Source organism: Homo sapiens, chromosome 2 (assembly GCF_000001405.40).
Source record: "Homo sapiens chromosome 2, GRCh38.p14 Primary Assembly".
NCBI lineage: Eukaryota > Metazoa > Chordata > Mammalia > Primates > Hominidae > Homo > Homo sapiens.
Genome location: NC_000002.12, coordinates 113,528,045 through 113,555,740, shown reverse-complemented (window position 1 = coordinate 113,555,740; position 27,696 = coordinate 113,528,045). Strand labels below are relative to the sequence as shown.

The 27,696-nt window shown below is 40.2% G+C and overlaps 1 protein-coding gene, 1 long non-coding RNA gene and 1 pseudogene across 6 annotated transcripts in view; 2 read left to right on the top strand and 1 right to left on the bottom strand.

Annotated features, from left to right (window-relative positions):
* Nucleotides 1-16,227, bottom strand: part of PGM5P4 (phosphoglucomutase 5 pseudogene 4) — a 29,425-nt pseudogene extending 13,198 nt beyond the window's left edge. Inside the window, exon 1 of one of the 2 annotated variants that reach the window (NR_146438.1) lies at nucleotides 16,211-16,227. The product of NR_146438.1 is annotated as a phosphoglucomutase 5 pseudogene 4, transcript variant 2 (transcript). Of the gene's footprint in view, nucleotides 1-14,062; nucleotides 14,271-16,210 lie in introns of those variants that run through there. The other variant, NR_146439.1, reaches the window with a different exon arrangement.
* On the top strand, nucleotides 13,051-27,094 carry PGM5P4-AS1 (PGM5P4 antisense RNA 1). 3 transcript variants are annotated; one of them, NR_121185.1, is made up of 4 exons: nucleotides 13,051-13,194; nucleotides 19,742-19,934; nucleotides 21,025-21,181; nucleotides 26,639-27,094. It is a non-coding gene; the product is annotated as a PGM5P4 antisense RNA 1 (long non-coding RNA). The 3 variants fall into 3 exon arrangements; NR_121186.1 differs by lacking the exon at nucleotides 21,025-21,181; NR_121187.1 differs by lacking the exons at nucleotides 19,742-19,934; nucleotides 21,025-21,181; nucleotides 26,639-27,094 and adding an exon at nucleotides 15,272-15,712.
* Nucleotides 13,233-15,712, top strand: LOC124908046 (EZH inhibitory protein-like). The gene is made up of 3 exons (XM_047446881.1): nucleotides 13,233-13,314; nucleotides 13,437-14,591; nucleotides 15,272-15,712. The coding sequence occupies exons 1-2, from the start codon at nucleotides 13,233-13,235 to the stop codon at nucleotides 14,297-14,299; spliced, it is 945 nt and encodes a 314-aa protein (XP_047302837.1). The 3' UTR covers nucleotides 14,300-14,591; nucleotides 15,272-15,712.
* Nucleotides 27,095-27,696: the final 602 nt, after the last annotated feature.

Genomic DNA, 27,696 nt, shown 5'->3' with positions numbered 1-27,696 from the left:
AAAGGAGTGTGCAATTATCATTTCCCATGATGCCGTTACTTAAGAACTCTTTGTGTCCGTCCTTCTAATGGCACCAATGCCTCCCATCAAGCCTTAAACCTCACCTAAAGTATGTCATTGGGCTTTTTCATCCATAAATGAGCATACCAGGTGCCAAGGGAATCAATATGCCCTTTCACATGCCTTAGACCAGTGTCCAAAGAAAGATAAAATGTTATTCTACAAAAGCTTTCTCCCAGCATTTCTATTCCTTTACATTTTGTACCATATACAACTATGGTTTTTTAATGATCTTATTTCTGACAGCTGTTTTTCTTCAGAACATCAACAGCTTCTTTCCTAAATTAGTTTTAGTGTACGTTCCATTTCTAATTAGCTCAAATTAAAGTCCTAGAGAGCAGCGAGGTAATATTTAAACCCTCAGGCTAAAATTTCGGAGTAGGTGCAGAATGTTGACTCTAAATGAGTTTTTCCTGTGACATAACACGCATTGAAAGCAGGATTTCTTTCATGTGTGAAATGTCTTAAATCAGACTTACCCTTTGTGATTATCTTCTAGCTTTAAATGTCATTTAAGAAAAAAAAAGAAAAGAAAATTAAGCATGACATTCCCCAATATCCTCTGCTCACTGTGTTATAATCCCTGTCACTCCCCAAGTGAATTGGAGAGAGTGAAGACACAATGAACAGAAACTTCCCTGATGCTTCACAGAGGAAGTGTTCTCCGGGACCACACAGCCTCCACCATGTCCATCTACGAAGGGCTGTGGCAAGCCATATACACAAAGATGCCTGTTTCCTGTCTTCTCGGTTAAAAACAAAAACAAAACACTGGAAGGAACCCCAAAGCCAAGCTGCCATGGGTTGCAGATTGCCAGCCCTTAAGTAGTGTTGTCCATGGGTAAACAGGAGACGGATAAGGGCAATTTCAAGAAAATAACAAACTCAAGGCATGAATGTGGTTATCCAAACATCAAGGGACTCCTTCATTTGCATTTGGATAATTGTGCAGTTATATGATTTGTTACATGGAGACCAGATGGAAGTAAGAGAGCTCATCCTCAACGTCCTGTGCCTCTGGAAGTCTTTACACACATGCTGGAGAGACAGATTCTTTACACACATGCCGGAGAGACGGATTCTTTACACACATGCCGGAGAGACGGATTCTTTACACACATGCCGGAGAGACGGATTCTTTACACACATGCCGGAGAGACGGACTCTTTACACACATGCCGGAGAGACGGACTCTTTACACACATGCCGGAGAGACGGACTCTTTACACACATGCCGGAGAGACGGACTCTTTACACACATGCCGGAGAGACGGACTCTTTACACACATGCCGGAGAGACGGACTCTTTACACACATGCCGGAGAGACGGACTCTTTACACACATGCCGGAGAGACGGACTCTTTACACACATGCCGGAGAGACGGATTCTTTACACACATGCCGGAGAGACGGATTCTTTACACACATGCCGGAGAGACGGATTCTTTACACACATGCCGGAGAGACGGATTCTTTACACACATGCTGGAGAGACAGACGAGAGTTCATGAGCATCAAACCACCATGGATTTCATAATCAATTCCTAACATCTGAATAGATGCAGAAAAGTCACAGGCATCTGGAAGTGTGGCCCAAGTTCTGTTCTTCAATCGGCCCACCCATTATCCCTATGTATCTCGATTTTGTTATCTAAAAGATCACATGATGGAGGATGTAAGCAAGTAACACAGCCAAGACCCAGTTTACAGTGTCTAGTACCTAACAGACTCTTGACACGTTTCCCTCACCCTTGAGTCAATCTTTCCATGTCACTGAATATTCTTCCACAACACGATTTTAATGGATATAGTCGTCCATTGTTTAAATGTACCATTATTGACCAATGTAAAAATGTTCTTTTATCTCAAATTTTTATATGTAAAACAAAAACATGTTTGAGGACTAAACCCACACTGTAGTATAAATTAAACTGGATGTAGGCCAGGCATGGTGAGTCACACCTATAGTCCCAGCATTTTGGGAAACCAAGACAGGAGGATGGCTTGAAGCCAGAAGCTCAAGAGCAGCCTGGGCAATACAGCAAGACCTCATCTCTACAAAAAAATAGGAAAAATTAGCTGGCCATGGTGGCGTGCACCTGTAGTCCCAGCTTCTTGGGAGGCTGAGGTGGGAGGATCCACTGAGCCCAGGAGTTTAAGGCTGCAGTGAGCTTGGATAACGACTGCACTCCAGCCTGGATGACAGAACAAGAACCTGTTTCAAAAAAGAAAAAAAGAAAAAAAACCCTAAAAACTAAAAACTGGATGTAGTTTGCTAATAACTAAACAGCAAATTAATTGTAACATGCTTACATATCAACGATGTCTTTCTTCTTTAATCATAAACCTGCTAAGAAGCTGCTGAAGTCCATGGTAGTGACAGGTACATGTCTGCATCCTTGTCCTGACCTGCATCTTCTTTGATTGTCCCCATCTGTGTCTCCGACTGGCACTGCCGAACCGGCTTGCTACCTGATCAATGTTGTACTGAACCGGACTGCTAACTGATCAATGTTGTTGAGCTCACTGCACAAAGCTGTTCTTACAAGGTAGATTTCTGCCTGGAATAGTCATACTTACACTGTTTATATTCCTTACTCCTGACCCATCCAACGCAGCACAAGTTCTATTTATTGCCATAGAAACATAGGTCATTTGGAAACACCTCCTTCATTTCTATGGAATGTTCAAACATTTCTGACATTTTGGACTCTGTTCTAGCCTCTTGTTAAATATATCCAGAAAAGAGACAAAGCTTTATGGGGGGGCTATATGCACACATATGCTATAGAATAAGCTATCTAAATGCTTAAAAATACTTTCCATCTGGCACCGCACCTTAATAGGTAGACAGAAATTAAGACAGAAATTATACGTATCTGTATAGATACGTATAAATATATATCCCCAAAACAAAAACTCATTCTCTTACTTATACATAGGTAGAATATAGGTGAATATACATATACATTTATAGGTAGAACAAAAAAACCCCTCAGCCTCTTTAGGGCCATGTGTTTTCTCTGAGTAATTGTCACAATTAATTAAAATACATGTGTATGCCTTTTTAGATAAATTCCATCAGACCAGTTTCTGTCTGGTTGGAAAATAATAACTGCCTATTTGCTAAGTGCCCCTGCCCCCATACTATGTTCCAGTGAACTAAAGACCTCTGGCAATCATAGATTTACAGCTCAGCAAGATTAAACAATTTATTGTTATTTATGACATCCAAGCTGGATCTTCCGTATTATATTCCACATTAGCATCTATCACTTTACATTTGGGAGATCCTGTCCAAAAAAAGATTATGCCTCCTAACCAAACATTCAGCAGGGCTGCAGGAACAGGCCCCCTGAACAAACATCCTGCCGAAGTACTTTAAAGCACCGTGAGCTCCCACAGCTGTGCATTTTCAGACGACTCAGCAGATTAGCGTGGAGTCTCTTAGCCTCTGCTTGGTCTGTTCCTTTCAGTGATCTCTCACATGGCCCAGTCCATTCGGTTTGAAAATCCTCATGCAATGAGCAGATTAAGATCTGGCTTCAGTAAAGGGCCATGGGGTGGGCATGGAGGGGAGAGGGTTTGCTCTTAACACAGCCTGAGCCTCAGAAAGGTTTCAGATGGAAAAGCAGGGCACTGACTCAGCTCATGCTTAACAGGAAATAATGCACAGACCACACCAAAAAAGCCCTTTATGTTGTGTGAAAGTCTATGCCGGAGCAGCTGCTGCCACCTCATGTACTGTGATAGAGTGTGCATGTGTGTGTTTGTGTGTGCATGAGTGTGAGTACTCACACAAATGTGTGCCGGGAGGGGGAGGAGCTCACACCTTCAACAGTCGCCACCTCAGCCTTAGCTAGCAGCATGGAGAAATGCCAAAAGTCAAGAGGAAGCTGCACCAAAGCAACTGTGATCACCACATCAGGAGGCGCTTTCTGGTTAGTAAAGCTACTGGGACAAAAACACACACGATCTCGTCCTTCTTTTATTTTAATCAGAGCAAAATATTTTTATAATAATTGTGTTATATGAATAAATAATTCATAATGCTGTAACCCATGATCACATTCAATCCTCCCAACAACCCTAGAAGATGTGTAGACAAATATTATTATTTTCCCTATTTTTATAAATGAGGAAATAAACCCCAGGAGGCTAGGCGACTTCCCCACGGTCATATAAGTTGCAAACAGTAGTATCATGATTCAAATCCAAACCTTCTCCTTTTGTCTTTATCATTTTAATTTTGAAGGTAATGCATATGCATGTATGATCTTTTAAATCCAGAGATGTATATGGAATAGATAGGAAAAGGGACTCTCCTTCCCCATTATACACCCCCTCCACCAAAGCTATATCCACTGTTGACTACAGTATGTCCTTTCAATCCTATTTTCTATGCCTACATTATATACAGAAAAGCAGGATTACGTTACACACAATATTCCAGTCATTGCTGTTTTTCACCAATAAGCTATCATTCACATCTTTTTCATACTACATATAAATTTATATCCTTTATTTAGTGGTGTATATTGTGCGGTTGTGTCATAAATTATGTACCTGTTCTCTGTTGAACATATAGATTTTTTCTGAGTTTTTCCTTAGCAAAATGCTGCAGTGAGTACCCTTGTACATAGATGTTTGTACATTTGTTCTAGAAAAATCTACAGTAAAGATTCTTAGATTAAGAGATTCCCAGGTTATTAGAAAACTACTCTATTAATTTAGATATATACTTCCAAATTGCCTGACCAAAAAGTTATGTCAATTTAACTTCTATGAACAGTATACAAACATGACAATTTTCCATCACCTACACCAACTCTGGGTAATTTCATCTTTTTTACAAGTTGATGGATTGTTTTAATTTGTATTTCTCTGGTTATTAATAAGGTTGGCCACCTGTTCATGTGTTATTATTGATGATATTTGTATTGAATTGTTTGAATTTTCTTGATTTGGAAAACCTTTTTACATGTCATAGACATTAAATATTTGTTGTAAAACTCTCCTTCCAGTATTTTGTATGTGTTTGGTCAAGTAGAATAAACTCTTGTCCTCTGATTTCAGATTCCTTTCTCTTTCCGTTAGAAATCCCTAAATGTAAAACTACATATTGATAGCTAAAAACCAGGATGTTTACTAGAGAAAAAGAATACAAAGGCAATAATTAAATATTATATTTATATAAAATACCTACTAGTACAAACTTAAAAAGAGAAAGTAAAAGTCAAATGCTTCTACGACTTCAGACTAAGAAAAAGAACTTTTGAGGTTGAATGTTCCTGAAATTTTTCTTTTCATGCAACTACGGACATGACTTCAAAAGTTGATGTTACTAAAAATGTAAGATATGAAAGATATTTGAAGACTCAGAGAAGGTGGATTTTCATTTTAACAAGTCACATATATATTCTAGATATCCTCTTATTCATAACTAAGAGAGTCAAATCAGATGAAAGAATCTAAAAATTTCCCTTTGACTGTGTTAAGTAGAAGTAGTAGAGGCATATTGGCCAAATCTTGAGTGTTTGCAAATTGACTCTTAAGGCTATAGGCTGGCACAGGTCATTGAAGCCCTAGCTTTTTATCTTTAATTTTAAAATCCCCAAACAATTTATACTAATTTTTCTTGTCCATTATTTCCAAATAATCTTGTTTAAATGTTATTACAGTGCTTGCTCATGTTACTGTTGTCTAACAGAAGGGTATCCGGGGCCTTAAAACTGAGAGGGTTAGGATTAATGATTCCAATACCTATGCTTGGACATCTCCAAAAGTGGGTTCCAACTTCTTGTCCTCAAGTCTGTATAGAAACTAGCAAACTTCCAGAGTTCACAAAAGGCTCAAAGAGAAAGAGAACAGATGTTTTATAGAAAATTCTTAGAGCAAGTTTCACGCATAATGTTGCTGATGTGTGTCTGCCTTTTCAATAAACATCACTATGCTTTATCACAAGATTTAATAAAGCAGCTTAGTTAAAAATGCCATCTGGGTCTCTGGACACATTAAACAAAGCTTAAAATAACCACCCCAGCAACTGGGAGGACCCAGCTGTTCTCATAATCTGTCCCACTCCTTTTACTTCCCCATAAAAAGAGTGAATGAAGACCACAGACTAAAAGCATCCAGAATGAACTGACACAAACAGGGAGATAGATGGAGCCAAGGGCTCCTGTAAGTTTGCTATTGCTCACATAATAGATTTGCTAATTCCACAACCTGGGGATGGTGATTCAGAAAGGGAAGCAGAAAGAGGGAAGAGAGAATCATAGAAGGGCTCATTCAAGTTTTCTAATGTATCACAAACCTGTCCTCCCTAATGTCTGGATCATAGCAGCCCATTCCATTCACCTATTCTGTAGTGAACGCCAGTAGAAAATACAAAGCCATCACCACCCAGTTCTTTCTCCCTTCTAGAGATGAGATATTAGCCACCCAATCCCAGATTCTCAGATCCATTCCAGGAAAGAAGCCCTAGGTATTGAAGCACAGCTTTCCCTCCCTCCCTTCTTTCTTCCACCCCAAGATTTGTTCCCCAGATAGTTCTAGTAAATGCAAAACCAAGTATATTCTCATTCTTTAGAGCAACCAGCTTTTCATGGCCAACTGGAATCAAATACAACCTGCACAAACATCTATCTGGAGGACACTCCCAAGGCTCCTACTGAGCCAGCCTTCTGCATACCACTGCATTTCAGCTTCCTAGTTCACAAGACACTGAGACATTCTTGAATTCTGCAAGGTGCACTGTGTGTTAATATCATTGCTGCTCATCATGTGGCCAATAAAGTGCATGACTAGTCAACAAATAAATTTTCTCTTGGCTAAAACTTGCAACAAAACTGTAAGCTGTTTACCAAGGGGCCCACTACAGGTTATATTCAATATATACAGTCAAATCATAATTATCTGAGATATATTCAGTTGACCATACACCTTTATATTTCAGTAAAAGGTCTTTACATTTCCCAGTGCTATCGATGTTACAAAGTGCTTTCATATGCAGTGCTTCATCTGATTTCCAGGATAATTAAATGATCCTGTCATACCTGATTTTTAGATGAGGAAACAAGTGGTTTCTGGGTATTTCAAGAGGCTAACGCATCTGCCCTCCAACTTGTATGTGAAAACCAAAAACAAAATTCCAAGGCCCCTCAACCATCTGAATGGACTTCGACTCTTTTGGTCAATATATGCCAGAGCTAGGAAAAGAAGGTGAGTCTTCCAGCTGCTGATACAGGGTTTTTTCTGCCATACTCCATTACCTCCAAGGCTAAAGTCAAAAGAGGGTGTGGTTATCACATGAAAAAATCTGGTTTGGATTTCCCAAATGTGTATGTAGTATTTGGTGATTTACCTTAATTTAACCTACAGTTCTTTTGGGTTGTAACAGTCTGACTCCATTTTTGAAAACAAAACAAAATCGATTTTAAATGCTGAATTATAGATCTTTGCTGTCCAGTATGGTAGCTACTAACCACTTATGGTTATTTGCATTTCTATTTTAATTAATTAAAATTAAGTAAAATGCAAAATTCAGTTCTTCAGTTGCTCTAGCCACATTTCAAGTGTTACAGTAGTCACATATGGCTAGTAGCTGGGACAATGCAGATTATAGAACAGTTCCATCATCAAAGAAACTTCTATTGAACAGTGCTATTATATAATGTCATCTCCAGAGAAAGAAGACTTTAGAAAAAGTCAGAAACGGCCGGGCGCAGTGGCTCACACGTGTAATCCCAGCACTTTGGGAGGCCAAGGCAGGCAGATCCCTTGAGGTCAGGAGTTCAAGACCAGCCTGGCCGACATGGTGAAACCCCGTCTCTAGTAAAAATACAAAAAATTAGCTAGGCGTGGTGGTGCATGCCTGTAACCCCAGCTACTCAGGAGGCTGAGTTGGGAGAATCACTGGAACCCAGGAGGCAGAAGTTGTAGTGAGCCAAGATTGTGCCACTGCACTCTAGCCTGGGTGACAGAGCAAGACTCCATCTCAAAAAAAAAGAAAAAAGAAAAAGAAAAAGTCAGAAACATCTTGAGGCAGGCATAGTGCTGTCATCTGTCCAATATTGAAGATGATTTAAGAATAAGAAAGAAGAGAACAAAGAAGAGACAAAGAAGTTGCCTTAGGTGTACCCACCCAGAAAAGGACAAAGGCATTCTTGTAGTCATTGTGTTGTATTTTAGCTCTTAAACTTTTTAAGAGATTAGAATAATTTGACACATAGAAGATCTAAACCACTGAAGAGGCTCTGAAGCAGATAAAAGTAGAAAGAAAATAAAAAACTAATTAGTTACAAACTAAGCTTAACCACAATTCATTTAAACGATACTATTTACTCTTCACATGATTGGTTTTTCTTTTGCTTTATAGTATGACATAGTTTATATCTTTAAAGGGGAATTAAAATATTTCTGGGAATTTTTAAAGGTAAGTTCACATAGCCACATAAAAACTACAGAAACAGATAAAACCTATCTTCTCATTTATTCCCTAATCCATTCAAATTAAATATAAAAATCCAAGCAGCCACAGTGATATTCAAAAAAGCAAAAGTGAGACAAAACAAAATTCATTTGTCACCTGTGGAGGTAGTTAACTCACCTAATCTTCACTCCAAACACCAGTAATTTTTAAAAGACAGAAATAAACATATGTTCTGCCTTCCCGGAAGGAACTATGTTTCAGGGTAGCCAAATAACCCAGTTGTGAAGAAAATGGTCTGCTTATAGAAAAATGCCAGCTAAAACATGTAGATAGAATTAGAGAATTAGAAATTCACCATTTTGAAACCCCTAATGAAATAATCAACTCAAGCAAGGATCATTAATAAATGCTAAAACAATCAAGTAAATATTGATACAGAACATAACTGAATATACACATGGTACAAAGTTCACGTCACAGACTACTGGCTTGACCCAAGGGGGAATATAACAGAGGAGATAGGCAGTGATCGCCCTAACCTTGCGATCCTCTCACCATCACTGATGATGGGATGTGAATACACATTATTGCCTATGAAATAGTCTTTAAAAAAAGAAGTTGAACCTGAATCTAACTAAACCTTGCAATGGGCTGAACGTGTATGTCTTCCCAAAATTAATATGTTGACATCCTAACCCCAAAGGTGCTGGTATTAAAAGGTGGGGCCTTTAGGGGTTCATTAGATCATAAGGACAGAGCACTCATGATTGGAATTAGTGCCCTTATAAAAGAGGCCCCAGAGAGCTAGCTAGTCTCTCCCACTATGTGAGGGCCCAGCAAGAAGGCCAATCTATGAACCAGAAAGTTGGTCCTAACCAGATATGAAAACCGCATGCTCCTTGATCTTAAACTTGCTAGTCTCTAGAACTGTGAGAAATAAATTTCTGTTCTTTATAAGTCATCCAGTTTTTGGTATTTTGTTATACCAGGCCTAAAAGCCTTTAGAACTAACTTCCAGTTAACCAGGAAAAAACAGAGTGAAAAGTTAAATGACACCATAAAAAGCAACCAGAAAATTCCAGAAGGGGAAATATTCTACAGGACCACTGACTAGTTTTTCAACAAGTCAATTTCATTAAATAAATACATAAACAAAGAGTGAGGGTATTTTCCAGGTTAAAAAAGTCTTGAGCTAAATAATCAAATGCAATGTGTGTCCCTTGATTAGAAGAAACTAATTTGAGCAAACCAGCCACAAAAGATATTTCAGGGAGACCAAGCTGGAAGGATCACTTGAGGCCAGGAGTTTGAGACCAGCCTGGGCAATGTAGTAAGACCTCCATCTCTACAAAAACAATAAATTAGCTGGGCATGGTGGTGTGCACCTATAGTCCTAGCTACTCAGGAAGCTGAGGCAGGAAGATCACTTGAGCCCAGGAGTTTGAGGCTGCAATGAGCTATGATTGTTTCACTGCACTTCAGGCTGTGTGAAAGAGCAAGACTTTGTCTCAAAAAATAAAAGGACATTTCATAATAATTGAGGAAATCTGAATGTGGACTGGGTAATAAATGATATAAAAAAACTATTTTTTATTCTGTTTGAAAAGATGATTTTGTAACCATACAGGAAAATGTTCTTATTTTTTAGAAATCTGCACTAAATAATTTAGGGGTAAAATATCATTTTCTTTAATATACTTTCAAACACAAGCAAAAAATAATCATGACACAAATATAGCAAAATGTTTACAATCAATGTTCTATGTTTGCCTATGAGTGCCATTAATCTCATCTCTCTGCTTTTCTGAAAGTTTGAAAATTTCAAAGTTTTATAACAAATTTTTTTACATCCCATAATTTTATAATAAATTTTTTAAAGTTTGAAGCAAATCAACAACTATAGCTTCAAAAATATTCTGACCCACAATAAACATTGAACAGGGTATATTTCTCCCATTTCCTAAAAAAGTTGGCCCAGGAAGGAGTATGAGAGCTGCCATAGCTCTCCCAAGGCTCATTATTCTCCATCACTCCATGGGAAATCCCAAAATAAATTTTTAAAAAAGTTGTTTAAATTTATAATGTTTTTGATTCTATAATAATTTTATAATAAAATAATTTTATAATGTTTTTGATTTTATATTTTTAATTTATAAAAATTTTTATACATGTTTATGTTTGAAATGTCTATTTCAAACTTTATGAGATATTAAAATATAAGTAATATAGTTCATCATTTTAGAAATGCCATGCTTTTCTTCTCCAGCAATTACATAATCAAAGAGTAACTGTAGTTTTTCCTAGAACATTGCTTTGTAGGCTGGGCATGGTGGTTCATGACACTTTAGGAGGCCAAGGCAGGCAGATCTCTTGAGATCAGGAGTTTGAGACTAGACTGGGCAACACAGAGAAACCCTATGAGTAGTAAAAACACAAAAATCAGCTGTGCGTAGTGGCGTGCACCTATAGCCCCAGCTACTCAGGAGGCTGAGGTGGGAAGATCACCTGAATCTGGGGAGGTCAAGGCTACAGTGAGCCAAGACTGTGCCATTGCACTCCAGCCTGGGCACAAAGTGAGACCCTGTCTCAAAAAAAAAAATGAAATTTAATTTAAAAAAAGAAAATTGCTTTGTAAAATTAACTTTTTCAATCAAAACCAAGATTTTTCAGATATAGAGAATGCAGCCCACTGGTCAGATTTGTCAGTTCAAAGAGAATAAATTCTAGTTTCCTATTTTTCTAGCCTGCTTATGATTATCCAATAGGATATCAAAAAAGACCAAAGCCTTTGGGATCCAAGTTCAGTATTCCTGAGTCTAACTCAGGATGCCAAATCAGGAGACAAGCACATTCTCATCAATTTTCAATCATTCGAGACCAATTTTGCTTATAATTATCCAGTTCTTTTCGACCACCTTTCTCCTGAAGCCTTATGGCTATTCACTTCACTTTAGCATAAGCCCCCAAGAAGGTGAACAAAATGAGGAAAAGATTGGTTAAAGTTGGCTGTTTGAAATTCTGAAACATGTCCACCATTCCCTTCACCCATGCCCACCCCTCTTAGAAGTAGTACTTTCAGATTATTTAAGAGTCGATGCTTCTATGTGGATTTTAATTTGTCATCTGTCCTTTATAACAGCTAGTAGGTTTAATTTGACTCTATTTTAAGCATATATTGACCTATGCTAATTATCTGTTAAAATAAATTCCACTCTTAGAGTTAATAAAGTGTGTTTGTCATGGAAGACCCATTGAAGTAAGAAGCTGAGGAGCCCTTATGGTAAAGTGGGACAAGAAATAATAAGACATAATAATTTTCCCATGCAAATCAACAACCGTAGCTTCAAAAATATCCTGACCCACAACAAGTATTGGACAGGCCCTGTTTCTCTCACTCCCTAAAAAATTGGCTCGGGAAGGAGTATGAGAGCTCCCATAGCTTTCCCAAGGCTCATTATTCTCCATCACTCCACAGGAACAGCCTGTCAGAGAAGAGTGAAAGACCATTTGTCAACCTCTCTTCAACTCCCTGATTCTAGCCAAACTTCATCAATCCCAACTGAGGAGCCAGAGAGAAATCAAACCCCATATATGCAGCATCATTGTCTACTGGAGTCAAAAATCACAATTCCACTACCCACCCCAACACCACTGGCCCTGTTTCTCCCAATTGCTTTTTATTGTGTTTTTAAAAAATCCTCTTTCCCCATCCCTGCAACACCGAGAAGGAGGAATTATAGTAGATAAATATGAAGCATGGAGATCCTTTAAAAGTGTTTTTAATAATAAATGAGAAAATGAAAAGGAGAGGGTTGGGAAGGAAGGAGGGAATTCAAATGCCAGAGAATTGTTCAGTTTCGCTTTTAAAGATGTTAACACTCATTTATACATCTGCAAGACACTCCCCTTAAAGAAAAGTTCTATGAGTGTGGGTCTGGTTGCATGAATAAGGATAAAATTACTTTTTTAGACGATGTTTCCCACATATAATTCAGAGACCCCTGAAATTAGGTATCCCTCTTGTAGATGTCCTTGAGATGCTGCTGGACCTGGGAAAGAGGAAACTGGGATATGGGTCTATGCCAAAAGGTGCTTCTAGTTACAGGACAGAGAGGAAAGGGGCAGAGGGAGAAAAACCTGAAGTCTGAGAATCTGGATTGCAGAAGACTACCGAGGTCGTGGGAGAAGGGAGAGAAAACAAGGATGAAAACCGAAAGGGGAAGAGGCATGAAATGTTGCCAGATGTCAAAAGGCATTTGGAGAGAAGTTGGGAATTGCATTAAGAAAACCACTGCAAATCTCATTTCAGACCATTTAGAGATATGCCCCCTGGGAACTGCGAGCTCAGGCTGTTTAGCATCAAACAAATGGATCCACTCCATCCCCACCCTAATTAAATAAATCATTCAGTAATTCCACTGGGTTAAAGAACCAAAATATTAAAAACCTTCAGGGCCTACTCTTGCCAAATATGTCAGGGATCGTGTGTGTGTGTGTGTGTGTGTGTGTTCTGAGACACCACTACTGTTAAATAGGCAGAGCTAAGACTTAGGGGACTGGCAGACTATTGCAAAAAGGGCACGGGGCAGAGGGACTATGTTGTGAGCCTGCGAAAGAAGTTTGTGTGGGGACTGTGGGCAGTGAACGCGTTGGGAACAATATGGAAAACTGGGAGCCGCCTTGGAATCTACAGGGCCGGGTAAGAGAATGTCCGAAAGAAAAATGAGCAGGTGCGGGATGTGCGCAGAGTCGGAGAAGAGTCCAGGGCGCCCGGAGTGGCTCCAGGAACGACGGAAACCCCTCAGGGCTTTTGGGGGCGGTGGGTACTAATAGAACCCAGTGTCCGGGGTGCGCCGGGGAGGCTGCGAGCGCGGCGGGAGTGGGGCGCTGGAGGGTGAGGACGCGGGAGTGAGGGAGCAAAGCCGGGCAGGGGCCTCCCAGCTGGGCCCGGAGGCAGCAGGCGGACAAGGGCCAGGAGAGGGCGCGGCGGCGGCGCGGCGGGAAGCGAGGGGCATCCGGACACTCGCCCCGTTGGCCGCGGCCATCGGCCCCCCGACCTCGACGGCCGTCCTGCCGAAGTACCTGCCGTCGCTGCCCACCCCCGTGGTGCGGCCCTGACGGTCGCGCAGGTCGACGGACGACAGCGCGCTCCGGATGAAGTTGGGCGGGTAGCTGCGCTGGCCCTGGAAGAGGCCGGTGGGTCGCCGGTCCTCGCAGGGCGCGGTGGGCACTGTCCGCACCGGGATGCGACTCCCCTCCGCGGCGCCTCCCGGCCGGTCCTGCTGCGGCTCCCGGGGCCGGAGGGAATCTGCAGCCGGCCGGGGGCCTCCGCCAGCCTGGCTGCGCGCCGGGACTCCGCCTCGCGCCCGGGCCCCTCTCCAGCAGGTCGGCGCCCCGCGCCCTGCACCCGCCCGCCTGGGGACCGCCCGCCCCTCCTCTCCGCGCGGCCGCTCGCTGACTCCCTCGGCAGGGATCGCTTCTGCCTCGCTGCCAAGTTTTCTCCCGCCCACCTTCTCCGCTGCCAGACCGCCCGAGCTGCCCTCAGTTTCTCCCCAAGTTGGACTCACTTTCGGGGTGTCCCACAAGCCCGATCCCAGAGCCTGCTAGCCCGACCCCGGCGACGCCTCCACCCGCGCCTGGCCGCAGCCTCCACCCGCGCTCGCCGCCCTCCGGGGCGCACCCTCCGCCAGAAAACAGCCGGCGGGCGGCGAGACTTCGGGCAGAGTGCGGGCTCCTCTCCGGCGCCAGGCCCGTCCCCTGTCTCCCTGGGAGTGCGCAGCCTACACGCACCAGTTTCTCTTTAGAACAAGGACTGGGAGGGATTTGCGAGGGGGCTGAAACCTTTTGCCATCAGCGAACAGCCTCAGCCAAAAACAACCCTGGAAAGGCGAGCTAAGAATGGTTATCTCCTGCCAGCGCTGAAATCGGAGGCCGGGCGCTGCGTGTGGGGTGTGTGTGTGTGTGTGTGTGTGTCTGTGTACCCTCCCACCCCGACCATTTGTTGAAGGGAATCACCACTGTCAGACTTCAATCCAACAGGACCCACTCGAGCCATCCACACTTGCCCCAGCCTCCTCCAAAACAGCACACTTTCCGGTATGGACAATTCTTTTTTTTTTTTTTTTTTCACTTATTTGTTTGTTGTGGTGGTTGCAACAGCAGCAACACAGACGACACATATTTCCCTATTCTTCTCGCCCTTCTCACCCTCCCTACCCAGCTCCTGCCTTAGAAACAGGCTTGGCCTACACTGTATCTGTCCACACTGTCTGAACTCTTCCCTGAATTAATCGTTTTCAGTAGGAGGGGGCTAAATCCCTTATTAATGCCCTACCAGGAGTGAATGAATAAAGCCAAGTTAAAGGAGAACTGGGTACCAGATACTGTGCTAGGTTTCTTTGCATGTACCCTTTCATTCTGCTGGAGCTAAAGATTTTCTGCCTCCTCTCCATAAAACGCACCCAAACTCCAAAACCAGGAAATTCTCCATAGAAAATAGGAGTGAAGAGAGAAAAGACTAACAGGATAAAACCCAAAGCAGGAAGAAAGTTCTATCTCCCATTTCTCTCAAGGAATTTTTGGACCCACCAAGGCTACTGTCCTGAAATATCCTGCTGCTTCTCCTTCCCCAAATATTGTCCACTTCCTGAGAGTAAGGCTGACTTGCCACAGGCTTATAAAGTGTTTGGTCACAGTAAGACAACTGTGAGTAATAACACACATTGTATACTGTTTTGCAATTGATAAAAGGCTTTGCATCTGTTTTTCCTTTGGAGGCTGAAGAAAAGAAGAATGGTATTCACGCAGTTCCCATTTTACAGATGAAAACAAGAGGACTTTTTCTGTGAAGTCAAGAAAGTGGTTACAATGGTACTTTCAGCCTGTCCGAATTATGTATTGCCCCTCCCCTTTTTATTAATAACATTGAAGTGTGATGGGACAACCACTGAAGCCGTCAGTTGAAACCTGCTGGGACTTTTTAGCCATTCTCTTCAACATAAAGAATGGGTGTTTTTGGAGGGGGTGAGAGGAATGGGGAAATGTTGTCAAAGAGTACAATGTTTTAGTTGAGACAGGAAGAATATATTTTGTTGAGATCTACAGCACAGCATGGTGACTGTAGTTAACAATGAAGTATTGTGTATTTCCAAATTGCTAAGACAATAAATTTCAAATGTTCTCACCACAAAAAAGATAGGTTTTGAGGTGATGAATCTATTAATTCTCTGGATTTAATTATTCCACAATGTATACATATATCATAATATCACATTATACCTCCGTAAATACATACAATTTTAATTTGTCAATTAACATTTTTTAAATAGAATAGTGTGGCCAGTCGGGGAGGTAGTTTTTTTTTTTTTTTTTTTTTCCTCTAGTCTCTACTCAGTCTCCAAGATCCCATTCCCCATAAAGTTCCTGTCACCCAGGTGGAGTGCAGTGGCACAATCATGGCTCACTGCACCCTCTCCCTCTTGGGCTCAAGCGATCCTCCCGCCTACAGGTACATGCCACCACGCCCAGCTAATTTTTGTAGTTTTTGTAGACATGGGGTTTCACCATGTTGCCTAGGCTGGTCTCGAACTCCTCAGCTCAATCAATCTGCCCACTTTAGCCTCCCACAGTGCTGGGATTGCAGGTGTGAGCCACCAAGCCCAACCCATAAAGTTCCTAACTTTTTATCTCCCTGGGAGTGCACAGCCTACACACACCAGTTTCTCTTTAGAACATACTTAAGAGTCTTGGCTTAGCATCCAACAGACAGAACTTTAACACTTCTAGGGATCTGTGCACCTGTCTATGGTGTGGGGTTTTTAAGATCTCTTTCTAATGACACTTCATTTTGCAAAGCAGGACAGTTTCATTCCCAGAAGAGCAGGTATGGTAAATCCTTTGTTCCAGTAACGAAGACAATGATCCAAACCCTAAGCCTCAGAGAAGCCCAGAAACCCTCCAGGCCTCCATCTCTCTGCTCCTAGCACCTGCCTCTCTCTTGACATCAACATCATTCTCCCCTCTCACAGCCCAGCTCCTTCCACAGACCCAGGGATTAGGCACCAGCACCTCAGACTAGATTTTAGAGAATTACTATTCAAGAGGCAATCCTCTTCCCTTGGTTCCAATTTCAAGGTTCTCAAAGACTGGAACAGGGCTAGTTTGAGGCAATGTGCCCCACCGCATAGCCAGAAAGAAACTTACAGTGAAAAGGAAAACAATTCTTCCAAAGTAAGGGGGTGCTGATCCCCAGAGGGAGGACAGATGGGCAACCAAACAGTAACCGGGCCACCACGTGCTTCACACTCACTGATCAAGGATTTCTAAAACCACTTTTCTTTTCTCTGAATTTATATAGGACTTTGTATCACTCATAAAGGAATGTCTTATAGGCTGATAACACCTTTCTATTCATGCTTATACTTAACATTTAGGCTAGGATAATTTCCTAACCTCAGTGTCCTCACTATAAGATGGGAATTATTATAATCCCTACCTCATAAATTGTTGGGAGGATTAAAATACTTAGTAAAGTGCCTGACTAATAGAAAGGCATTCAATAAATGTTAGCTATTCATGGTGTCATCATCATTATATTTACCATTATTACTAATCTCCTGTATTGCAAGAATTACAGTTTATATTTTCGTAGACCATCACTGTAGCTAAAGGGTCTTTGGGCCATAGGTGATATTCCATAAAGGTTGGTTAAATTGATCTGTGGTTTTTGACTATGGAAACTCAGAACTCCCTCAAAATGTACAAAACAGATTTACCTGCTAAATAAATCTCTTCAAAGCTGACCCCAGGTTTAATTGAATTAATTCCAATGAATTTGTCACAATGATGGAGAAAGGAAACTTAGAGGGCCCCACAGTTGTTTGCTGGTAAAATGAGAAGTTTGGATTAGATCAATGTTTCCCAAAATATTTTCCTCAGAATGTTAGTGCCCCTCGAATCCTGCACAAAGCAAGAGTTTCATGACCAAGTAGCTTTTAAAACTCCTGTACACTCTACTCCCATTCTTCACAATGCACACTTTCATATTAAAAGTTCTGAGAGGTCCTCAACAGAAGACATCACTTAACTTTTTTTTTTTTTTTTTAAGACAGATTCTCACTCGGTCACCCAGGCTGGAGTACAGTGGCCACCACTCCTGGCCTAAAAATTTTTTAACCTGGTGCTTCCCAATCTAAACTCACAGGGACCAGTTTTCTTAATGAAAGAGAATCAGACTAGCTTGTAACCATAGCTGGTGACCCTCCCCTGCCCCATTCCTTGTATGTCCTCAGTGGACTAGGTCAGGAATAAATAAATTTTCCTGATTCTCAAGGGCTGGTCACTCCTTTGCACTGAGCTCAAAGCTTCTCTGTAGCATGGGTCACAATGAATGGTAGCCCTGATAGCCTAGAGTAGCCTTTCAGCCTTCTCTGAGCCTCTAAAGACTGAGGATCCTTGGCATGAAATAGGAGCAACTGATATACCCTTGCTTCCCCTGGGGACTCTCTTGCTCTCAAAAAGGCATCAGCCATCATCTCCATCTAGAGAATATACTAGCTGACTCAGCTTGACCAGCCTGTCCCAAAATGAGAATCTGGGTAAAATAAGTATTGAAACACTTCATTCCTTGTAGATTCACAAAACACATTAGCATATTAAAGACTATGAAGTTCTGCAGGAAAAAAAACCTATTTAACTTTAATCCAACATTGCCAAGTTTTATTTGACCATGGAAGATTTTTCCAAAACACTTACAAACAGATCAAGGACATTAATCTTTCATGAAACACTTTAGATCCCCAGGGTCCTCTCCAGCTACATCATTCTGTGATTTTTTTATTTATGATGCATTAAAAGATTAATCTCTATCAGACTTCCATTTAGAAATTCACCAGAATGTGCAAAGGCAGCAGGTAAAATTGCCGAAGGGTATTATAAAAATACCCTCCAGTGATTTTTGAAACTTAAACTGAAATATTTATTTAACTATATATTTCAGTTTGTATATTATATATATATGTATATACACACATATATATGTGTATATATATATTTGTGTATGTATATCTATATCTATGTATATATGGCATTATATCCATTTTACAGATGCAGAAACTGAGCTTTAGAGGGGGTGAGCAATTGGTCCAAAGCCACACAGCACACAGGTAGTCATTGATAAAGGTAAAAACAAGAGTTGAAGCCTGAGGTGTAAGGACACAGAGACAAGTACACAAATGTTTACAAGTTACACATATGACACGTGCCTTTAACATGAATTTCTGGAACATTCATTTAGAGGCCTTACAATGAAGACATCAGAGTGGCAGCAAGTTCTGTTGGAATCAGGGGAGCGTGTTCTTCTATAATCCCCTGGCTGACAGGAAAGCACGCTGATTTGGCCCATGGTAGTTATACACTCCCATTGAGTCAGGGGCCACTTCTATGCACACAGGAGGTGCTAAAAATATGCTGTTGACTCATTGCCTCTAAGAGCAGAAGAAATGCCAAAAGTATAGGACAAGAGGCAGAAAAGCACACGGAAAAATGTCGTAGGGCAGTCCTCTAAGGAAGTGTTAGATCCCTTTGAAATCTGTCCAAACACTTTCTTGTGCTGGGGAAAGTCAATTACATATTTCAAGCAACCCCACATGTCATACGAGTATCTTGTACGTGTTTGCGTACTCGTGTCTGTGAACTTACATCTCAGACTTCAACTTCTCGCTTCCCACCCTTATCAATGACTGCCTGCATGGCCTTGGGCAAGTTGCTTTCCCTCTTCAAAGCTCAGTTTCTGCATCTATAAAATGGACATAATGCTACCTACCTCATGGAGTTAGTGATCACATTTAAGGAGCTAATATGTGGAAATTGCTTAAACAGTACCTGTCACATAATAAGGGTTTAATAAGTGTTTGATGTAATTGTTTTGATTATTACTACTATTACTAAAATAATAATTACTACAATAATAATGATTCTTATTCTCTATATTAGTATTATCTTTGAAAATGGGCACGGATTATGTCTATGTAACACTTTTGGCACAATATCTAGCATTATATCACATACAAATTAGAGAATTCATGTTATTAAGGATGAAAAAATATTTTTACTGACCCTTAAATTCTTCGTAAGTAACTGCAAAAGAAGCCATTATCCCAACACATGAAATAAAAAAAAAATTCAGTTCCTCTGGAGTTTGTTTTTGGAGGTAGCCACAGGATACCTAAATTTTTTTTTCTTTTCAGAGAGACCGAGGGGCTCACTAGGTTGACCAGGCTGGTCTTGAACTCCTGGCCTCAAGCCATCCTCCCACCTCAGCCTCCCAAAGTGCTGGGATTACATGCATGAGCCACCACATCCAGCCTACCTAAAATATTGAATGCTGTTAATAAATCTCCTGAGGCCAGCATAAGAAGGTGATGGGCAAAACTAATGCAGGTATGTTTTTCTGGCTTTTTCATGTATTGGGCCCAACTTTGAAAAGCACTTACTATTAATGGCTAACTTGCAAAATTTGTGATTTATTAAAAGCAGATTTTAATTGTTTTACCTAAAAATAATAGGCCTCTGATCTGCCAAAGATGAAGATTTAATTTCTAGGTGTTCCCCACAATACCTAGAAACATCAGTGTGATCGATTATTAAACACTTTAGAACTATTCTCATCAAAGTTCTTTATTATATAATACAGCAAAAGAAAAGTTTCTTTTCTAAAGGCTTCTCTATACTTTTTTTAATAGTTGAATTTCATTTCTGAAGGCTCCTAAAAAGAATAGAATTTAGATCTTTATTAAAGAGGAAATATATTTTCCATGTTTAATTTAAATTACATTCCATCAGTCATTTGCAATCTTAGCCGACACGGAATTTTTTTTTTTTTGGTAGTTTTTATGTTTGGGCTTTAGGAGGGGATTCCCAATAATCTCTATATAAATATTTTAACATTTCAATGTAAATTAGTTTTTTAAAGCTATTTTATCCATAAAAATAATGAATTTGCATGGCTGAGGGTGAAATAATGTGTTATCAGGACCCCTCAGTTCTGGGGGTTGTGAGTAGATCCCATCTTCATGTTCCTCCAGCCCAGCCCAAGCCTGGCTCAGGTCCTCCTCCCCCATTTGTCAGGAACCACCATCCCCAGGGATTCTATGTGCCCTGCCTGACCAGTGTTCTCCATCAGAGTTTACCAATCTTTTGTTCATTCCCTCAGAGCACAGCTAAGCAAGAGTACACTAATTTGAAAATTAACTCAAGCAAATAGAGGAACAATATCCCCAACACATTGCATTTTAACATAGGGTTTCCTGGACACACTGTTTCAACCCAAGAGTTGGGCTAATAGTAGGAGTTCCATCTGCTAAAATACGGCTGTCAGCTTCAGAGGGAAATTCATGAACGTCTTCATAGTTTGTTTTTACGTTTCACTTGGCACTGTTTCTAAAATTTCCTCTGAAGCCAAAAAATAAGTTATTTCCCAGCACACTGGTCACTTTTCATTTATCATTGGATTGATTTTTCTAACTTGCAGTAGGAGCTGAAATCGACCAGGGGGTTCTTATCCAACAGACAGCAGCAAAACTCTTTGTGTATCTGCGTTCCTTTCAACAAGTGTGACTTCCTCAATGGCATCATTCGTGAGCGTAACACAGAGCTCAGCAATAACGTTTCTTCACTAACCCTACCAGGTATCCAACATAGGATGTTACTTCCTTTCACTGTTTTCCGACTCCTGGCAGATATTAATCATTGGGATTTGGGAACAAGGAAATAGAATTTCTGAGAATGCTTGGGAACTCCCAAATTCATATGATTTTCATAACACTTCACTTACAAGTTTTTGAAAAATAATAAGTGACTATAATAACAAGCAAATAGTCGTTTTTTTCTGTAACAGGATTATATGAAAAGTTTTAGTAGTCTTCTGTTTTAAAAAGATATGATAACAAATGATGATTTATTATTATGAGCCAACATATTGTAACAAGATTATAAAATCCAATAGCATTAATAGAGAAAACATTAAAAAGAAATGAATATTATCACAAAATAAATGCTAAAGAAAAGTCCTTTAAAGATTGAAAGGTAACACCACAAATACTTAATGCTTTAATCATTGTTTACATGACATTGTTAAACAAGGCATCAATCATCCCCTCCAATACCATTTAAATAACATAACATTCTGATCTCCTGGCAAGATGAATAGCACTAGAAAGAAGCAACTGTCAAAATTGCCGATTTAAGGGCATATTTTGTTTCTAAAACTTGGCATTTCTTAGAACACCTCTCATAGGATTTGTAAAACATATACTATGCCTATGAACACATTAATATTTATTTGCAGAAATGGTTCACTGTTAGCAGTGGACAAGGCCATGAACACACACTTATAACACAGCAACAGATACAAGAAAGTCTGACTGAGGCTCCATTACTGCTCCTGTCCTGTTCACCTTAACTTTCATCTCCACATGTCAGCGCTTCCTCATCTTGCCTGACTTGAAGTCAGTGCATTTCTTCAAGCCAGTAAGTTCTCTATACTGACTATTAAGCTGTAATTCTCACAGGAAAATTAGAATGTTCCTTCCCATTTTCCTAATTTCTCAACTGATTTTTCTCAGAATTCAGAATCCATAAATATTGAAATGCCAGGAGAGAATTTCCAAATGGAAATGCTGTTCCCTTCGTCCATTTTCAGAAGAAACCGTAGGATAGTGTTATCCTTCTCTTCTCCAATTTTTTTTTTCCTGCAAACTTATGGTTATCACCTCTTTAAGTGCGTAGCTCACAATTTTGCCTCCCCTGCAAATGGTCCCAATACAGTGAAGTGGGTCCTCTTTAGCTGTGTCTTTACTACATAATCCTGCATTTCTGACCGTAGGCAGGGAGGGTGACCCAGGGAAGGATCCCTGACTCAATGGGATTTCTCTTGCTGTCTCTAGAATTTGAACACCGGAACCCAGACGTACAGAGGCTGGGAGCCATTGTGGTGTGCTATATTGATGACGGCAGCAGTGGGTGGTGTGGGGGCAGTTAATTGACAGCTACCTGTTGCTGACATCTCAGGAACTGCCTGAACCTCCTCTTTCCCAGTCATAAGATATCTAAGATTCTGCAGTATTCTTCATTAAATCCTAGCATGGTTTAAGCTAGCCAGAATTAGGTTCTGTTGCTTTCAATCAACAGAACCTTAGCTAATACATTGTTATTTCCTGGTCCTTGTTCCTTTAATTTTCCAAGAAAATAAGGGAAAATGGCTTACTGGTTTTAAAAAGAGACAAGGGACAACATACCATTTATGCAAAATTTAGAAGCACTCAAAGGAAACTCTGGAAAGCTCCTGAGACATATATAGGTAGGATCAGCATAAAACTTGAACAGTGTATCTAGATCATGGTTGCCATGGTTGCCTTGACACAATGAACATCTGTATCAAGATCATATTTTCTTGGTGGGACAGAGAGAAGCACAAGGCGGGACTCACATTTACAGTAATCCTTGTTTTCCAGGGACCATACAACCCAGTTTGTCTAGAGCTGTTCATCTTAAGTTTGTTATCCCACCATAATTATAAATAGAACCTCCTTTTTCTCTCAAGAATATCCCACTTTGGATGATAATTTCTATGACTACCCATTAAGAATATTTTAAGAATATTTAATAACTATAGAAAACTGCTTCTCTATATTTTTTGTATGTTTGAAACATTTTATAACAAAAATATCTTTTAAGTTATCACCTACACAGAATATAGCTGCCAAATGCTCCTACTCTGCTATTCTAACCATGAATCCCTCTGGGGCCCCTTCCTCCTACGGCGCTTGTGAGGATGAAATGAAATAAGCTCTATGAAGTGCCCAACAGTGACCAACACTGAATAAAATACAGCCACCATAGGTGGCCTTCCCTTATGTTCACCAAACTCCTGATAAGTTATTCAGTGATGTTTTAATCTTAATATTTTATGTAGATTATACATTCATCTGATTCAAAATGCAAAAGGTACAAAAGCGTATACAGTTAAAAGTTTCCCAACCCACTACCATTTATCTCCCTGGAGGCAACTGTTTCCAGATTTTTGAATATCCTTAAAGAATATCATATGTATGGAAAAGAAAGATTATATATTTATATGCATCTGTGTATGCATTTTCCTATGAGAGGCTCACAAAGTCTCCTTGAAGAGATATCATTACTACAAATACCCCTCAATTTACAATGGGGTTATATTCCAATAAACTTATGAAAATATTGTAAGCTGAAAATGCATTTAATACACTTAACCTACTAAACATCATAGCTTAGCTCGGCCTACCTTAAACACTCACATTAACCTACAGTTAGGCAAAATCATCTAACAGAAAGCCCATTTTATAATAAAGTGGGCTTTGAATATCTCATGTAATATAATGAATACTGTACTGAAAGTGGAAAACAGAATGGTTGTATGGGTACTCAAAGTACAGCTTCTGCTGAATGTGTATTGCTTTCAAACTATCTTAAAGTTGAAAAATCATAAGTCAAAATATTGTAAGTCAGGGATTGTTTGTACTTCCACTTTACATGATGAAATTGAGCCTTGAAAAGATTAAGTGACTCGCCCAAGGTCACACTGGCAGTTAAACAGTGAAACTTGGATCCAAATTGTTCAGTCAGTACATGTATTGTCTTGAAATCTGAAAAAGAGGAAGAGGAATTAAACTACTAAATTGAAGGAATATTTTAGGCATAGAAGAAGCAGATGCCTTCATGTCCAAGTGATTGTGAAAAGCCCACTTGCCCCAAAATATGTCTCCTGGTCGTATGAAATTCCACCATTTCAGATTTTTACCTGGGGATTTAGAGTAATCTGCTGTTTTCCTAGAGCTCCCCTAAAATAGAAATTTTGGAAGGCTAAATATATGCTAACATTGGAAAACTCATTTTCTCCCCTTCGTAAGGCAAGGTACTGAAGGAGGGGGCCCTACGGGCTGTGCAGGGACATCCTGGAGGCATGGGGAGAAGAAACTGAAAGGCAAGGTTGTATGGAACAAAGAATACCGATCTCAGGATTCTCTCTTGAACCTGCCCTAACTTTGTTCAAATAGACTTAGCCACTGACCTGCTGTCAAAAGACCGCAGCCAATCTGACTTGTTTTCAACATAATGATGAATATTGATTTGGTCCCTTCATCCAACATTCTCAGCTGGATCTTTTTTTGACCAAGGATATACATTACTAGGCGAGTACAGGCAGTTAATTCTTCCACACGGGACTTTGGAGTTTCTGAGTTAACCAGAATCACCCACCTTAACATCTGCCAGTTTATACCCCAAGTCCTGACCAGTGCCCCCTACCTGCTATGCCTCATGTTTTCAATATAGCATAAAATCTGAAATGAAAGATGAAACATCATAGCCAATATCACAGAAATACAAAGGATCCTAAGAAACTCCTAGGTATAATTACACACTAACCAATTGGATCATCTAGAAGAAATGGATAAATTCCCAGACACGTAAAACCTACCAAGATTGACTCATGAAGAAATTAAAAAATCTGAACAGACTAATAGCAAGCAAGGAGGTTGAATCAGTAAGAAAATGTCTCCCATCAATGAAAAACCCAAAACCAGATGGCTTCCCAGATTAATTCTACCAAATATTTTAAGAAGAACTAATACCAGTCCTTCTCAAACTCTTCCAAAAAGCTGAAGTGGAGGGAATACTTCCAAACTCATCTTACAGGGCCAGCATTACCCTGATTCCAAAGCCAGACAAGAACACTACAAGAAAGGAAAATTACAGGCCAATATCCTTGATCTACATAGATGCAAAAATCCTCAACAAAATCCTAGCAAACCAAATTCAATAGCACATTGAAAGAATCATTCACCACGATCATGTCATGGTTCATAAGCAAATCAATACATATAATATACCATATTAGAAAAATAAAGGATAGAAACTATATGGCCATCTCAATAGATATAGAAAAAGCTTTTGACAAAATTTGAAACCCTTTCATGGTGAAAAAAAAACACCCAACAGATCACGTATTGAGGGACTGTATCCCAACAAAATAAAGGCCATGTATGACAAACCCATAGCTAACACCATAATCAATGGTGAAAAGTTGAAACTTCTCCTCTACCATCAGGAACAAGACAAGGATGCCCACAGACACCACTTCTCAGGGTAATTAGGCAATAGAAAGAAATAAAAGGCATCCTAATAGGAAAGGAAGAAGTGAAATTGTCTCTACTGACAGCATGATCTTGTTATATATAGAAAACCCTACAAACTTCACTAAAAAAAGGTTAGAACTCAACACAAAGAAGGGAACAATAGACACTGGGGGACTCCAAAGGTGGGAGGGAAGGATGGTGGGAGCAAGGGTTGAAAAACTACCTGTCGATTACTATGCTCACTGCTTGGGTGGTGGGATCATTAGAAGCCCAAACCTCAGCACCGTGCAATATACCTGTGTAAGAAACCTGTACATCTACCCTCCTGACTCTAAAATGAAACGTACAATATTTAAAAAACAAAAACAAATAAATAAAATTTGAAAACTGTTAGAACTGAACTGATAGGTGAAATCAGTAAAGTTGTAGGATACAAAATCAACATATAGAGCCTTGAACACAGCAACATCCAGCTGTCTGACATGAAAGTCTCAGGGGCAAGAAAACCTCTATATGAACTCAGAAACAATGAGCTAAGTTGTGTTTATGTCTGAAAGGATGTTAAGAACTTCATTCATGTTACATTAGAGCCAACAGAAAGAACCAACAGGAAACCTGTACCCAACAAACAGAAATGACAAGATGAAGGGAAAGCAGAGGTAAGGGCTTACCTTAGAAAGGGCAAGTGATTAGCTCAATATGCAATACAATATTTGCTCCTGAGACAAAAATTGGTACAATAATTTGGATATTACTTGCACAACCAGAAAAATCAGCCACTCATTAGGAAAATGTGTTTCTGTATAAGTCTTAGGACTCAGCTATCTATAATAACATGAAAAGACAATATTTTCATCCAAAATGAGTATTTTTGTTTGTCTTGGCTTGTTATTCTAATGTCAACAGCCTCTAAATAAACTGTTGAAGTACATGATATAACCACCTCTTTCTCCATCTTTCCCATTGCTCCCATAGGGTTTCAGTTGTGCAATTTCACCATTAGCAAAGCTTTTTGCTGAAATCTGGCTTTTCAAAGGGAGAGTATCCAGAAACAGAAGATGCTGCTCTGAGAGGCTCTTCCTAATAGAACTGCTGCTTCAGTTTAGCTTGAAAAAGCCCACACCGAGTTCCTAATGACAGACATCTGAACACCGGGTCTTCCCACGAGCAAGACCATGCTATGCCTCCTGCTCGCTCTGTTCTATAAGCAACCCACAGATTGCTCCCTGTGAAGAGGAGCCTGCCAGGGGAGCAGCATTCCACCAGACCCTGATTTAGCAAGATATTTCCGTATCATTCCCCCAACCAGCTGGAAGTCCTCCATTGCTCTTGTGTAAAAATCTAACTCATCTCGCTGAATTTCCTGATTTAAAAGTCTAATTCATTTCACCAAAAGTGTGACAGAAGGAAACCAAGTACACCATCTCTCTCTTACCAAACCAAAGCTATTGCATGTGCATTCTGGGGGAAAAAAATGGTCCAAATATGTTATGGAGGGGGTGCCAGCCCAGTGTCATCCTCTTACTATTGCCATAGGATCTTGGCTGATGGCATCAGAGGAAAAACAAGTTTATCGATTACTTTCAACCATTAAGCTCACTCCTCCATGAAAAATAAGTCACAAGTCCAATGTCTCTTATTAAAATAAGCACTGCAAAATATAAAGGAGTCACAGTTTTAAAATGGGACACACATTCTCTAAGCGGTGAACCACGTTAGAGGTGCACTGTTTACATTGTATAAAGTCCCCTGGAGCCAGGGTTAGGAAGCGCATCTGTTCTTTGGTGTTCTGGGATGAAGGAGAAAGGAAAATGTGCTGCCAAAAGTGAGTGGGAAGGAGCCCATGAGATAAAGGAAGTAAATCCATTTGCTGATTGCAATAATAATGGTAATACACGAAGCCATACATACATACATACATACATACATACATGCAAACTTTCACATTTTTTTAAAAAAAGAACTTAAGGCTTCCACACATGTAATCAGCCCTTATGAACTCTCCTGATTAGCTGCAAGGAAAATCTTCCTTT

What these genes read in the sequence shown, in the direction of transcription:
- LOC124908046 (XM_047446881.1), top strand. Translation starts at nt 13,233, where the DNA reads ATGTGCGCAGAGTCGGAGAAGAGTCCAGGGCGCCCGGAGTGGCTCCAG. An exon ending in CCTCAGGGCTTTTGGGGGCG is followed by an intron (nt 13,315 to 13,436) that starts GTGGGTACTAAT and finishes GGGGCCTCCCAG; the next exon opens with CTGGGCCCGGAGGCAGCAGG.